General features: G+C 49.8%; 5 annotated features.

The window, feature by feature from the left end:
• Nucleotides 369–869: an enhancer, noted in NCBI's record as "H3K4me1 hESC enhancer chr1:55484247-55484747 (GRCh37/hg19 assembly coordinates)". NCBI's record gives its function as "activates a minimal SCP1, AML or CMV promoter by ChIP-STARR-seq in naive H9 embryonic stem cells {active_cell/tissue: H9 hESC(naive)}" and the evidence as "EXISTENCE:reporter gene assay evidence [ECO:0000049][PMID:30033119]".
• Nucleotides 4,451–5,077: an enhancer, noted in NCBI's record as "OCT4-NANOG-H3K27ac hESC enhancer chr1:55488329-55488955 (GRCh37/hg19 assembly coordinates)". NCBI's record gives its function as "activates a minimal SCP1, AML or CMV promoter by ChIP-STARR-seq in naive H9 embryonic stem cells {active_cell/tissue: H9 hESC(naive)}" and the evidence as "EXISTENCE:reporter gene assay evidence [ECO:0000049][PMID:30033119]".
• Nucleotides 9,381–9,884: an enhancer, noted in NCBI's record as "OCT4-NANOG-H3K27ac hESC enhancer chr1:55493259-55493762 (GRCh37/hg19 assembly coordinates)". NCBI's record gives its function as "activates a minimal SCP1, AML or CMV promoter by ChIP-STARR-seq in naive H9 embryonic stem cells {active_cell/tissue: H9 hESC(naive)}" and the evidence as "EXISTENCE:reporter gene assay evidence [ECO:0000049][PMID:30033119]".
• Nucleotides 9,885–10,388: an enhancer, noted in NCBI's record as "OCT4-NANOG-H3K27ac hESC enhancer chr1:55493763-55494266 (GRCh37/hg19 assembly coordinates)". NCBI's record gives its function as "activates a minimal SCP1, AML or CMV promoter by ChIP-STARR-seq in naive H9 embryonic stem cells {active_cell/tissue: H9 hESC(naive)}" and the evidence as "EXISTENCE:reporter gene assay evidence [ECO:0000049][PMID:30033119]".
• Nucleotides 10,389–10,892: an enhancer, noted in NCBI's record as "H3K27ac hESC enhancer chr1:55494267-55494770 (GRCh37/hg19 assembly coordinates)". NCBI's record gives its function as "activates a minimal SCP1, AML or CMV promoter by ChIP-STARR-seq in naive H9 embryonic stem cells {active_cell/tissue: H9 hESC(naive)}" and the evidence as "EXISTENCE:reporter gene assay evidence [ECO:0000049][PMID:30033119]".

The raw sequence follows: 14,886 nt of genomic DNA on the forward strand, positions 1-14,886 counted from the left end.
GGTCTAATTCTACTTTAAAAAATAAACAAAATGTTAGGCCCCCACTAATCACATCCATGAGATAAGTGAATTTGAAGGAAGCTAGATGACCACCTGTGGCCATCCTGGAGCACGGATTCAAGCACCAGTGGGAGGCTGGACTTGACCTACAAAGATTCCCCTCCAAAACAAGTGTGATTCCAACCTTCTGAGGGAGGCAGGCAGGCATCATAGCCCCAGGGAAATGGATGGAAACCTGAGGCTCTGTGAGGAGAGGTTATGTCCCTCAGTTCCCACAAGGACACATCTGTCCTCACGTGGGATTAGGCCCCCAGGCCTCCGCTGGCCAGCCTACCAGGCGGATTCTCAACAGCACCAGGGCTATGACAAGGAGGAAGGGGGAAGCCTGGTCCTGCAGCCTCGGGAAGCCGGGGCAGCTGTGGGAAGCCGGGGCAGCGGCTATGGGAAGCCGGGGCAGCTGGGGGATCTGCAGGTGGTGCTGATGTCCCGTGGCACCTGTATTGGCTATAAATACATATTTTCAGAAAGCTGAGTGGGACCATCTCTTCCCACAACAAATCCAGGTCATCTGCATGAAAATGACCTTGAGGAAAATTGGAGGAGAGGAAAAAAAAAGTGTCAGCAAAGAAAGAAAGGGAAAATATACTAGGGAAACTGTTTTGTTTTGTTTTGTTTGCGACAGAGTCTTGCTCTGTCACCCAGATTGCAGTGCAGTGGTGCGATCTTAGTTCACTACAATCTGCAGCTTCCGGGTTCAAGCGATTCTCCTGCCTCAGACTCCTAACTAGCTGGGACGATGGGTGCATGCCATCATACCTGGCTAATTTTTTTGTATTTTTAGTAGAGATGGGGTTTCACCATGTTGGCCAGGTTGGTCTCGAACTCCTGACCTCAAGTGATCTACCATATGTATGCATCTAACAACAGAGATCGAAAACACAGGAAGCAAAAATCCTGTCTGATTTTTAGCTTTCTCTCTCTCTTTTACTGTCTCTCTCTCTCTCTCCATTTAGAAGTGTAACCTCTTTCAGACATGTTCCTGCCCATTCTTTGGGCAGCTCTGAGCATTGCCTTCTGCATCCTGAAGTTCAAGTCATCTGCCCAAGCCTGGGGTTTCTCATCTCAATAACAGGGTGCCAGTCAATGCCTCCCTACCTCTTCCCGGGGAGGAACTTCGTTCTTCCCTGCCTGCGGTTGTGGATCTAGACCCTGGCCCTGATTCCCTATAAGGCTTTCCCCAGCCTCAGTTTTCTACCCCCCAGCATGGGGTGGCAGTCCTGCCTGCCTGCCTCACAGGAATGATTCCAGGCCTGGGGACCTCGTGGGGACCTCAGTGGTTGTTGCTGGGCTGGGTTTTGGAGATCTGACCTTCCTCCCTGGCTGAGATGGCTGACTTCTCTGCACCATTAACACCCTGACGAGGAGGTGATGGAAATATTTTGGCCTAGGGGTGAGGGCTAGGGGCCCCCGAAGCAGCTGAAGGCACATTCCTCCCGGTCCCCACCTCCACTTGCCCTGGGGCCCGGGCTGCTGGGGATTCTTTCCTTTCACCCTGGACCTCAGAGCACTGATGCAAATCGGGTGCATGCCCTTGGGGTCCTTTGGATCCAAATGGCCAGTCGGGGTGACCCAGTTGGGTATTTGTGTGGAGGAGTGGGGCTGCCATCTGACCACTCAGATCCCGTCCTTCCTCCCCCTCCATGCTTGCCTCATGTCAGGACTTTCTAAAGCAGTTTTAGATGTGCTATCTTGTTGGACTTTGCATCTCCTCAGTGAGGGGAGAGTGATTGCCACTGTTCTGCTGATGAGTGAACTGAGGCTCAGAAAGGGGCAAGTTGTTGCCCAGGGTCACACCGTGAATTTGTAGCAGAGCTGGGATTAGAACTCATGTTCTGGATCTCCGCCTGGGTCGTGTCCCATCTGCTGCCAAGGCCTAGCTTTCTGCCTCCACAACATCCCCTTCCCCCTTTCTTCCCTCCTCATGATAGCCACTGTCACCACCCCTCCAGCCTGTGCTCATTATCACATGGCCCCTCACAGGGTACTGTCTCCAGGCTGGACCCCACCACACCCACCAGAGGGATGCTCCTAAGTGGTAGTTGGGCTCTAAAACCACTCTCTCCAGACCAAAGCGAATTGGACTAAAGGGGGTCCCAGCTGTAGGAGCTCCTGGTCCAGCAGAAGAGATTGTCACATAGAGGACTCCCTTGGCAAAGAGAAGAGGGGGAACATAGGGCAGAAAGTTCAGGGAGTGCTGCCTGGAGGAGGAGACCCTTGGGGTGGGTGTCATGAGAATTATCAGGCAAAGAATGCTGGGAAGGGCATTCCAGGAGGAAGGCATAGCATGAGCCATGGCTGCAGAGTGGAGCTGGGTGACCTGGACTGCTTGAGGCAGTGCTACATTTTCAGGGAGTAAATCTGTGGTTCCCACACTTAGGGCTGCTTTGGTATCTCCTGAGGAGTTTATGAAATGCAGATTCCTGGGCCCAGTTCCTGGAGATTCTGGGCCAGGCAGAGGAATCTGCAATTCTCAAAGCGGGAGGGTAGGAGGAGTTGCCGCAGCCTCATTCCACCACTCTGATGCAGGTGGCCCCTGGGCCATGCTTGGAGAAACACTAGCAGGACTGAGGTGGCCTTGGACAGAGCACTGTGGAGGGGTCTGGGGTGGAGGCAGAGGTGGAGTGCGCTGTAGGAAGAGCTGCAGAAGCTGGACCCTCTTGGACAAGCCTATTGAAAAGTTTGGCTTGCCCATCCCCTGTCCCCACTGACACATTTTATCCTTCTCTTTTCATCATTCTCTAGTGCTCTTATCACCAACTTATAGGCTGAACATTAATTTATTACCTGTTTCACTCAACTATGAGGGCTGCATGAGAAAAGGGATTTTGTCTATCTTGTTCACTGCTGTACCCCAATGTCTGTAACATGGAAGGTGATCAAGGGAGGTTTTGTTCTGTTTGCATTTTTTTTCTTTTTGAGATGGAGTCTCCCTCTTGTCACCCAGGATGAAGTGCAATGGCGCGATCTCAGCTCACCACAACCTCCGCCTCCCAGGTTCAAGCGATTCTCTGCCTCAGCCTACCGAGTAGCTGGGATTACAGGCATGCGCCACCACGCCCGGCTAATTTTGTGTTTTTAGTAGAGACAGGGTTTCTCCATGTTGGTCAGGCTGGTCTTGAACTCCTGACTTCAGGTGATCCACCCGCCTCAGCCTCCCAACGTGTTAGGATTACAGGTGTGAGCCACCGTGCCCGGCCTGCATTTTGTTTTTTTAGGGTGGAAGAGATCTGAGCGTGCTGAGAGGCTGGCAGGAAAAAGGGTGAGTAAGCCTTGATGTGTACAAAAGAGAGACAGAGAGAGCCAGGCAGACATGTCAGAGAACAGCAACAGCTCTTCCCTTTAAGCCGGCAGGGAGTGGGGACATACAGGGTGGAGAGGGGCTGCCTGTGGCAGGTGCCAGGAAGACCCCAGTGGCCTCCTTTTCTCCATGAAGTGGCAGACAAGGGGCTTCCTGGGAAGAGAGGGGAGGAGAGGAGAGGGTGGAGACTGGTGATGTGCATTGGGCCCAGAGCCATTCTTGAGCAGGTGGAGAGGAAAGCATTTTTGAGGCCGGCGTGCTGGTCATGACCCTCTTTTGTTCAGAATCTCCCAGAGTCCCCTAACCTCAGGAGAGGGCCATGCCTTGGCCTCGAGAGGCGTTAAAAACCAGCCTCCCATCTCAGTGTCTCCAGCTGGGCCATGCACTGCTTCCTACCACCATTATAACTGGACCACAGATCCCGAGCTGCCACCTCCAGGAAGCCGGCCCGGATTCAGTGCCCATCTGACTGAGTTCCCGCAGCACCTAGCCTGTCCCTTCTGTGAGACTTGGCTCCTCTTGCCTCCTATCACAGTCGCCTGTGCTCTCATCTGCCTCCCTGTGGACTCTGAGGATGAGGCGAGGGCTGATTCAGCTCAGGGGTGAGAGCAGGTGCCAGCAGCTTATGGGCTGGGCCGGGCCTGGGCAGTGGGCAGGCCGTGGGCTCAGATGACAGGTACCTGGCGCCCTCTGCTGGTCTAGCTGGGCAAGGCTGCTGCTCCAGAGTGGCCGGAAGCTTCCTGGGAGAGGCCTGGTTCTCTGGGCCTGTCCCTCTCTCCCTATTCCTTCCTTCCTCCCTTCCTGAAACTGCGTCCTCCAAATCCTGCTCCAGCACCAGCAACCCCCTGCTTTTCAACAGCCTCTGGCAGCGTTTCGGTCCCTTTCTGGCCTTGACTGGAAGGCCCCTGTCCCCCAAGGACACTGCTGCCGTCCCTGCAGTCCTTTCCCCCCGCCTGAGAGGGGTAGGGTCTCCTTGCTCTCAGTGCCCCACTCTCTGGATCATTGTCCTTCTCTCCTCCATAAACGCAGTCATGCGCCACACAGCAATGTTTCAGGCAACGACAGACCACATACATGACAGTGGTTCCATAAGATTACAACAGAGCTGAGAAACTCCTGTCACCTCGCTTAGAGACGTCATAGCTGTCAGGCCTCTGAGCCCAAGCCAAGCCATCGCATCCCCTGTGACTTGCACGTATACGCCCAGATGGCCTGAAGTAACTGAAGAATCACAAAAGAAGTGAATATGCCCTGCCCCACCTTAACTGATGACATTCCACCACAAAAGAAGTGTAAATGGCTGGTCCTTGCCTTAACTGATGACATTACCTTGTGAAAGTCCTTTTCCTGGTTCATCCTGGCTCAAAAAGCACCTCCACTGAGCACCTTGCGACCCCCACTCCTACCCGCCAGAGAACAAACCCCCTTTGACTGTAATTTTCCTTTACCTACCCAAATCCTATAAAACGGCCCTACCCTTATCTCCCTTCGCTGACTCTCTTTTTGGACTCAGCCCGCCTGCACCCAGGTGAAATAAACAGCCATGTTGCTCACACAAAGCCTGTTTGGTGGTCTCTTCACACGGATGCACATGTAATTTGGTGAAATTTGGTGCCGTTACTCGGATCGGGGGACCTCCCTTGGGAGATCAATCCCCTGTCCTCCTGCTCTTTGCTCCATGAGAAAGATCCACCTACGACCTCAGGTCCTCAGACCGACCAGCCCAAGAAACATCTCACCAATTTCAAGTCCGGTAAGCTGCCTCTTTTTACTCTCTTCTCCAACCTCCCTCACTATCCCTCAACCTCTTTCTCCTTTCAATCTTGGCGCCACACTTCAATCTCTCCCTTCTCTTAATTTCAATTTCTTTCATTTTTTGGTAGAGACAAAAGAGACATGTTTTATCCATGAACCCAAAACCCCGGTGCCGGTCACGGACTGGGAAGGCAGCCTTCCCTTGGTGTTTAATCATTGCAGGGATGCCTCTCTGATTATCCACTCACGTTTCAAGGGTGTCAGACCACGCAGGGACGCCTGCCTTGGTCCTTCACCCTTAGCGGCAAGTCCCGCTTTCCTAGGGGGCAAGGACCCCCCAATCGCTTATTTCCGCACCCCAACCTCTTATCTCTGTGCCCCAATCCCTTATTTCCGCACCCTGACCTCTTATCTCTGTGCCCCAATCCCTTATTTCCGTGTCCCAACCCCCTCTCTGCTTTTCTGGAGGGCAAGAACCCCACTCCCCTCCTCCGTGTCTCTACGCTCTCTTTTCTCAGGGTTTGCCTCCTTCACTATGGGCAACCTTCCACCCTCCATTCCTCCTTCTTCTCCTTTAGCCTGTGTCCTTAAGAACTTAAAACCTCTTCAACTCACACCTGACCTAAAACCTAAATGCCTTATTTTCTTCTGCAACACCACTTGGCCCCAATACAAACTTGACAATGGCCCTAAATGGCCAGAAAACGGCACTTTTGATTTCTGCATCCTACAAGACCTAAATAATTTTTGTCGAAAAATGGGCAAATGGTCTGAGGTGCCTTACGTCCAGGCATTTTTCACACTTCGTTCCCTCCCTAGCCTCTGTTCCCAATGCAATTCCTCCCAGATCCTCCTTCTTTCCCTCCCGCCTGTCCCCTCAGTCCCAACCCCAAGCGTCGCTGAGTCTTTCCAGTCTTCCTTTTCTACAGACCCATCTGACCTTTCCCCTCCTCCCCAGGCTGCTCATCACCAGGCCGAGCTAAGTCCCAATTCTTCCTCAGCCTCCGCTCCTCCACCCTATAATCCTTTTATCACCTCCCCTCCTCACACCCGATCCGGCTCACAGTTTCGTTCCGTGACTGGCCCTCCCCCACCTGCCCAGCAATTTACTCTTAAAAAGGTGGATGGAGCCAAAGGCATAGTCAAGGTTAATGCTCCTTTTTCTTTATCCCAAATCAGATAGCATTTAGGCTCTTTTTCATCAAATATAAAAATCCAGCCCAGTTCATGACTCGTTTGGCAGCAACCCTGAGACACTTTACAGCCCTAGACCCTAAAAAGTCAAAGGGCCGTCTTATTCTCAATACTCATTTTATTACCCAATCCACTCCTGACATTAAATAAAACTCCAAAAATTAAATTCCAGCCCTCAAACCTCACAACAGGATTTAATTAACCTCGCCTTCAAGGTGTGCAATAATAGAAAACAGTTGCAATTCCTTGCCTCCACTGTGAGACAAACCCCAGCCACATCTCCAGCACACAAGAACTTCCAAACGCCTGAACCACAGCGGCCAGGCGTTCCTCCAGAACCTCCTCCCCCAGGAGTTTGCTACAAGTGCCAGAAATCTGGCCACTGGGCCAAGGAATGCCCGCAGCCCGGGATTCCTCTTAAGCCGCGTCCCATCTGTGTGGGACCCCACTGAAAATCGGACTGTTCAACTCACCTGGCAGCCACTCCCAGAGCCCCTGGAACTCTGGCCCAAGGCTCTCTGACTGACTCCTTCCCAGATCTTCTCGGCTTAGCGGCTGAAGACTGACACTGCCCGATCGCCTCGGAAGCCCCCAGACCATCACGGACGCCGAGCTTTGGGTAACTCTCACAGTGGAAGGTAAGCCCGTCCCCTTCTTAATCAATACGGAGGCTACTCACTCCACATTACCTTCTTTTCAAGGGCCTGTTTCCCTTGCCTCCATAACTGTTGTGGGTATTGACGGCCAGGCTTCTAAACCTCTTAAAACTCCCCAACTCTGGTGCCAACTTAGACAATACTCTTTTAAGCACTCCTTTTTAGTTATCCCCACCTGCCCAGTTCCCTTATTAGGCTGAGACACTTTAAATTATCTGCTTCCCTGACTATTCCTGGACTACAGCTATATCTCATTGCCGCCCTTCTTCCCAATCCAAAGCCTCCTTTGTGTCCTCCTCTTGTACCCCCCACCTTAACCCACAAGTATAAGATACCTCTACTCCCTCCTTGGTGGCCAATCATGCACCCCTTACCATCTCATTAAAACCTAATCACCCTTACCCCACTCAATGCCAATATCCCATCCCGCAGCACGCTTTAAAAAGATTAAAGACTGTTATCACTTGCCTGCTACAGCATGGCCTTTTAAAGCCTATAAACTCTCCTTACAATTCCCCCATTTTACCTGTCCTAAAACCAGACAAGCCTTACAAGTTAGTTCAGGATCTGCGCCTTATCAACCAAATTGTTTTGCCTATCCACCCCGTGGTGCCAAACCCATATACTCTCCTATCCTCAATACCTGCCTCTATAACCCATTATTCTGTTCTGGATCTCAAACATGCTTTCTTTACTATTCCTTTGCACCCGTCATCCCAGCCTCTCTTCACTTTCACTTTGACTGACCCTGACACCCATCAAGCTCAGCACATTACCTAGGCTGTACTGCTGCAAAGCTTCACAGACAGCCCCCATTACTTCAATCAAGCCCAAATTTCTTCCTCATCTGTTACCTATCTTGGCGTAATTCTCATAAAAACACATGTGCTCTCCCTGCCAATCGTGTCCGACTGATCTCTCAAACCCCAGCACCTTCTACAAAACAACAACTCCTTTCCTTCCTAGGCATGGTTAGCGTGGTCAGAATTCTTACACAAGAGCCAGGACCACACCCTGTAGGCTTTCTGTCCAAACAACTTGACCTTACTGTTTTAGCCTAGCCCTCATGTCTGCGTGCAGCGGCTGCCACTGCTTTAATACTTTTAGAGGCCCTCAAAATCACAAACTATGCTCAACTCACTCTCTACATTTCTCATAACTTCCAAAATCTATTTTCTTCCTCATACCTGACACATATACTTTCTGCTTCCCGGCTCCTTCAGCTGTACTCACTCTTTGTTAACTCCCACAATTACCGTTGTTCCTGGCCCAGACCTCAATCTGGCCTCCCACATTATTCCTGATACCACACCTGACCCCCACGACTGTATCTCTCTGATCCACCTGACATTCACCCCATTTCCCCATATTTCCTTCTTTCCTGTTCCTCACCCTGATCATGCTTGATTTATTGATGGCAGTTCCACCAGGCCTAATCGCCACACACCAGCAAAGGCAGACTACGCTATAGTACAAGCCACTAGCCCACCTCTTAGAACCTCTCATTTCCTTTCCATCATGGAAATCTATCCTCAAGGAAATAACTTCTCAGTGTTCCATCTGCTATTCTACTACTCCTCAGGGATTATTCAGGACCCCTCCCTTCCCTACACATCAAGCTCGAGGATTTGCCCCACCCAGGACTGGCAAATTAGCTTTACTCAACATGCCTGAGTCAGATAACTAAAATACCTCTTAGTCTGGAGGTATTTTAGTTACTGGATAAGTACTGGCCTTTCCTACAGGGTCTGAGAAGGCCACCGCAGTCATCTCTTCCCTTCTGTCAGACACAATTCCTCAGTTTAGCCTTCCCACCTCAATACAGTCTGATAACAGATGAGCCTTTATTAGTCAAATCAGCCAAGCATTTTTTCAGGCTCTTAGTATTCAGTGAAACCTTTATATCCCTTACGGTCCTCCGTCTTCAAGAAAAGTAGAACAGACTAATGGTCTTTTAAAAACACACCTCACCAAGCTCAGCCACCAAAAAGGACTGGACAATACTTTTATCACTTTCCCTTCTCAGAATTCAGGCCTGTCCTCGGAATGCTACAAGGTACAGCCCATTTAAGCTCCTGTATAGACGCTCCTTTTTATTAGGCCCCAGTCTCATTCCAGACACCAGACCAACTTGGACTGTGCCCCAGAAAACTTGTCATCCCTACTATCTTCTGTCTAGTCATACTCCTATTCACCGTTCTCAACTACTCATACATGCCCTGCTCTTGTTTACACTGCCGGTTTACACTGTTTCTCCAAGCCATCACAGCTGATATCTCCCGGTGGTATCCCAAAACTGCCACTCTTAACTCTTGAAGTAAATAAATAATCTTTGCTGGCAGGACTATGCTGAATCTCCTTAGGCACTCTCTAATTAGATGTCCTAGGTCCTCCCAATTCTTAGTCCTTTTATACCTGTTTTTCTCCTTCTCTTATTCCATTTAGTTTTTCAATTCATACAAAACCGTATCCAGGCCATCACCAATCATTCTATACGACAAACGTTTCTTCTAACATCCCCACAATATCACCCCTTACCACAAGATCTCCCTTCAGCTTAATCTCTCCCATTCTAGGTTCCCACGCCGCCCCTAATCCCGCTTGAAGCAGCCCTGAGAAACATCGCCCATTCTCTCTCCATACCACCCCCCAAAAATTTTCGCCGCCCCAACACTTCAACACTATTTTATTTTTCTTATTAATATAAGAAGGCAGGAATGTCAGGCCTCTGAGCCCAAGCCACGCCATCGCATCCCCTGTGACTTGCATGTATACGCCCAGATGGCCTGAAGTAACTGAAGAATCACAAAAGAAGTGAATATGCCCTGCCCCACCTTAACTGATGACATTCCACCACAAAAGAAGTGTAAATGGCCGGTCCTTGCCTTAACTGATGACATTACCTTGTGAAAGTCCTTTCCCTGGTTCATCCTGGCTCAAAAAGCACCCCCACTGAGCACCTTGCGACCCCCACTCCTGCCCACTGAGCACCTTGCGACCCCGCACTCCTACCCGCCAGATAACAAACCCCCTTTGACTGTAATTTTCCTTTACCTACCCAAATCCTATAAAACGGCCCCACCCTTATCTCCCTTCGCTGACTCTCTTTTCGGACTCAGCCCACCTGCACCCAGGTGAAATAAACAGCCATGTTGCCCACACAAAGCCTGTTTGGTGGTCTCTTCACACGGACGCGCATGAAATCTGGTGAAAATAGCCATTGTAACGTCGTAGCACAGTTACTTAAAAAAATAAATTTAGCGTAGCCTAAATGTACACTTTTTATAAAGTTTATAGTTAAGTACAGTAATGTCCCTGGCCTTCACATTCACTCCCCACTCACTCACTGACACCCAGAGCCACTTCCAGTCCTGCAAGCTCTGTTCATGCTAAGTGCCCTACACAGATGTGCCATTTTTCTCTTTTACATTTTATTTTTACTATAGTATTTTTACTATACTATTTCTATGTTTAGATTTTTTTTTTTTTTTTTTTTTGAGACGGAGTCTCACTCTGTTGCCCAGGGTGGAGTGCAGTGGTGCAATCTCGGCTCACTGCAAGCTCTGCCTCCCGGGTTCATGCCATTCTCCTGCCTCAGCCTCCCGAGTAGCTGGGACTACAGGTGCCCGCCACCACGCCCAGCTGGTTTTTTGTATTTTTAGTAGAAACGGGTTTTCACCATGTTAGCCAGGATGGTCTCGATCTCCTGACCTCGTGATCCACCCGCCTCGGCCTCCCAAAGTGCTGGGATTACAGGCGTGAGCCACCGCACCCGGCCCTAGATTTGTTTAAATGCACAAATACTTACCATTGTGTTACAGTTGGCTACAGCATTCAGCACTGTGCTGTACAAGTCTGTAGTCTAGGAGCAATAGGCTGTCTATCCCATATAGTCTCGGTGTGTAGTGGGCTACCCCATCTAGGTCTAACTATATGATATTCGCACCATGACAAAATTGCCAGGGACATATGGATGCATGACTGTATTGAAGTTCCTGTCATCAGATTACACCGGAAGACTTAGCTCCGGCTCATAGCCCTTTCACCTGCTGGGGGATTTCAGCGTGTTTCTAGAGAGTCGGTTGCACGCTCTGGCACCTCAGTCCTTCCACCTCCAGAGACCTTGCCTGCCCCTTTTTCAGCCTTCCATTCCCACCTGCATACTCTTGCCCTTGTCACTACGATAACAAGCTCCTCCAGAACCTCCATTCCAAACACGCCCTTTCTGACCACCACTTTCCTTTTCTCCCAACTCCAATATTTTCATTGACGCCAGCCTTTCACGTCTGCCTCTCACTCACCTCCTTGCACATCTCCCCTCCTCCCAGCCCAGACTTCATGGTCCAGTCTGCCATCCACCCTCCCCACATCCTCGTACTAGTTATTGTACTCACAGAGGAGAAATCCCACTCTACTTAAACTCAGCCACCCCCAACCCCCTGCTCCTGCACCCAGGCGGCTGAGCACAGCCAGAGAGAAACACACATGCTTTCTGGTCTCACTCACAAACCACTCGGCTCCTGTGGGCCCTGGAGGCGGTCCTAAAAACCCACTCCGTTTCCAAGTCCATTTCTCTGCCTGACTTATTTATTTTATTTTTTATCTCAGTAAAAGCGTATATAATAGTTATATGTTGCAGGCAATATTCTAAGCATGTTATTATCAAGTATTTTTTAAACAACTCTGTGAGGTACATTCTGTAACTATTGCCATTTCACAGACGAAGAGATAGACACACAGGAAGAGACTGCGTGACTTGTCCTGGAGCCCAGGCCTGTGGCCCCGTGCAGTGCTGCCCTGCCCCCAGACAATGACAGCAACATGCCTTCTCCTTTCTCCTTAAACCCCCAAATCCTTCTCCCCCAGCCTGCCTTATAGTTGCTGCCTTGCTTCCTATTCCAATGAGAAAATAGACTCAATAAAGAGAGAACCTCCAATGGCTCCCCCCTCCACATCATCTCCCTACCTGCCTGCCTGTGCCTCCTTTTCCACCTTCCCCTGTGATTATGGCTGCACCCTTGTCTAGAGGATAGAGCCTTCCACCTGTGCACTAGGATCCATCCCTTCTCACCTCCTAAGAGATGCTCCCTACTCTCCAGCATTGCCAGCTTCTCTGTCTCAACTGTAACACTTCCATCAGCTCTGGGCCATCATCCATCTTCCTGCTTCCCCAAGGATATAGGGAAAACCTTGAAAGTGATGTCTGTGGTGGCCGTCTTTGGCTCCTCTTCCTGCATTGTCTCTACACAGGCCTTCCTGGTGATCTCCACATGGCTAAATCAGAACACCGGACCCCAGCATCTGACTGATTTTCCTTTCTCACCTTGCTTGTCCCGTGGGCCTCATTTGACCCAGTTGGTCACTTCCTCCTCCTGGACATGCTCCCTCGTGATCTCTGTGAGTCCCCTGTCATTGAATTACGTTGATATGTTGACAACTTCCAGCCCAGCATCTCCCCTAAGTTCCATGTGACACCTTGGCCATCTGGTGAATGGCTCAAACCCATGCACCCAGAACTCCTCAGTTCTCCACTAAGCCACTCCTCTCTGGGCTCCCCAGCTGCTCCTTAAGTGACAAGGCCAAAACACTGTCACCTCTCACATCTCATCTGTGGACAAATACAAATACACTCAGAGTCCCACTGCTGCCTCTGATCTAAGCCACTACCAGTGTGGCTCACAGTCTCCCACCTGCTCTCTCTGCTTTTACCCTGGTCACCGACATCTATTTTCCAAATAGCACTCACAGCAATCCTCAAAAATTATAAATCAGATCATGTCCCTCTGATATGGTTTCGCTGTGTCCCCATTCAAATCTCAGCTTGAATTGTATTTCCCAGAATTCCCACGTGTTGTGGGAGGGACCCAGGGGGAGGTAATTGAATCATGGGGGATGGTCTTTCCCATGCTATTCTCATGGTAGTGAATAAGTCTCAGGAGATCTGATGGGTTTATCAGGGGTTTCCATTTTTGCTTCCTCCTCATTTTCTCTTGCCTCCGCCATGTAAGAAGTGCCTTTCGTTTCCCGTCATGATTCTGAGACCTCCGCAGCCACGTGGAACTATAAGTCCAATTAAACCTATTTTTCTTCCTAGTCTCAGGTATGTCTTTATCAGCAGCATAAAAATGGACTAATCCAGTAAATTGGTACTGAGAGTGGGGTGTTGCTTAAAAGATACCTGAAAATGTGGAAATGACTTTGAAATTGGGTAACAGGCAGAATTTGGAACAGTTTGGAGGGCTCAGAAGAAGACAGGAAAATGTGAGAAAGTTTGGAACTTCCTAGAGACTTGTTCAATGGCTTTGACAAAAATACTCATAGTGATATGAACAATAAGGCCCAAGGTGAGGTGGTCTCAGAGGGGGCAGATGAGGAACTTGTTGGGAACTGGAGCAAAGGTGACTCCTGTTATGTTTTAGCAAAGAGACTGGCAACATTTTGCCCCTGCCCTTGAGATTTGCGGAACGTCGAACTTGAGAGAGACGATTTAGGGTATCTGGTGGAAGAAATTTCTAAGCAGCAAAGCATTCAAGAGGTGACTTGGGTACTGTTAAAAACATTCTGTTTTGAACGGGAAGCAGAGCACAAAAGTTCAGAAAATTTGCAGCCTAATATTGCAGTAGAAAAGAAAAACCCATTTTTTGAGGAGAAATTCAAGCCAGCTGCAGAAATTTGCCTAAGTAGCAAGGAGCCTAGTGTTAATCCTCAAAACCATGGAGAAAATGTCTCCAGGCCATGTCAGGGACCTTCACAACAGCTCCTCCCATCACAGGCCTAGAGCCCCAGGAGGAAAAAGTGGTTTTGTGGGCCAGGCCCAGGGTTCCTGTGCTGTGTGCAGCCCAGGGACTTGGTGCTCTGTGTCCCAGCTGCTCCAGGCATGGCTGAAAGGGGTCAACATACAGCTTGGGCTGTGGCTTCAGAGGTGGAAGCCCCAAGACTTGGCAACTTCTATGTGGTGTTGAGCCTGCAGGTGCACAGAAGTCAAGAATTGAGGTTTGGGAACCTCCACCTAGATTTCAGAAGACGTAGGAAATGCTTGGATGTCCAGGCAGAAATTTGCTTCAGGGTGGGGTGCTCATGGAGAACCTCTGGTAGGACAGTGCAGAAGGGAAATGTGGGGTCACAGCCCCCAGACAGAATCCCTACTGGGGCATTGCCTAGTGGAGCTGAGTAGAGGGCCACTGTCCTCCAGACCCCAGAATGGTAGATCCACTGACAACTTGCACTGTTCTCCTGGAAAATCTGCAGACAATCAATGCCAGCCCATGAAAGCTGTTGGGAGGGAGGCTGTACCCTGCAAAGTCACAGGGGCAGAGCTGCCCAAGACCATGGGAACCTACCTCTTGCATCAGCGTGACCTGGATGTGAGATGTGGAGTCAAAGGAGATCATTTTGGAGCTTTAAAATTTGACTGCACCACTGGATTTTGGACTTGCATGGGGCCTGTAGCCCCTTTGTTTTGGCCAATTTCTCCCATTTGGAATGGCTGTATTTACCAAATACCTGTATCCCTATTGTATCTAGAAAGTAACCAGCTTGCTTTCGATTTTACAGGCTCATAGGTGGAAGGGACTTGCCTTGTCTCAGATGAGACTTTGGACTGTGGACTTTTGGGTCAATGCTGAAATGAGTTAAAACTTTGAGAGACTGTTGGGAAGGCATGATTGGTTTTGAAATGTGAGGACATGAAATTTGGAGGGGTCAGGGGCAGAATGATGTGGTTTGGCTGTGTTGCCATTCAACTCGCAGCTTGAATTGTGTCTCCCAGAATTCCCACATGTTGTGGGAGGGAGCCAGGGAGAGGTAATTGAATCATGGGGCTGGTCTTTCCCATGCTATTCTCGTGATAGTGAATAAGTCTCATAGGATCTGATGGGATTATCAGGGGTTTCTGCTTTTGTATCCTTTTTATTTTCTCTTGCT

This window comes from Homo sapiens, chromosome 1 (assembly GCF_000001405.40).
Source record: "Homo sapiens chromosome 1, GRCh38.p14 Primary Assembly".
Taxonomy (NCBI): domain Eukaryota; kingdom Metazoa; phylum Chordata; class Mammalia; order Primates; family Hominidae; genus Homo; species Homo sapiens.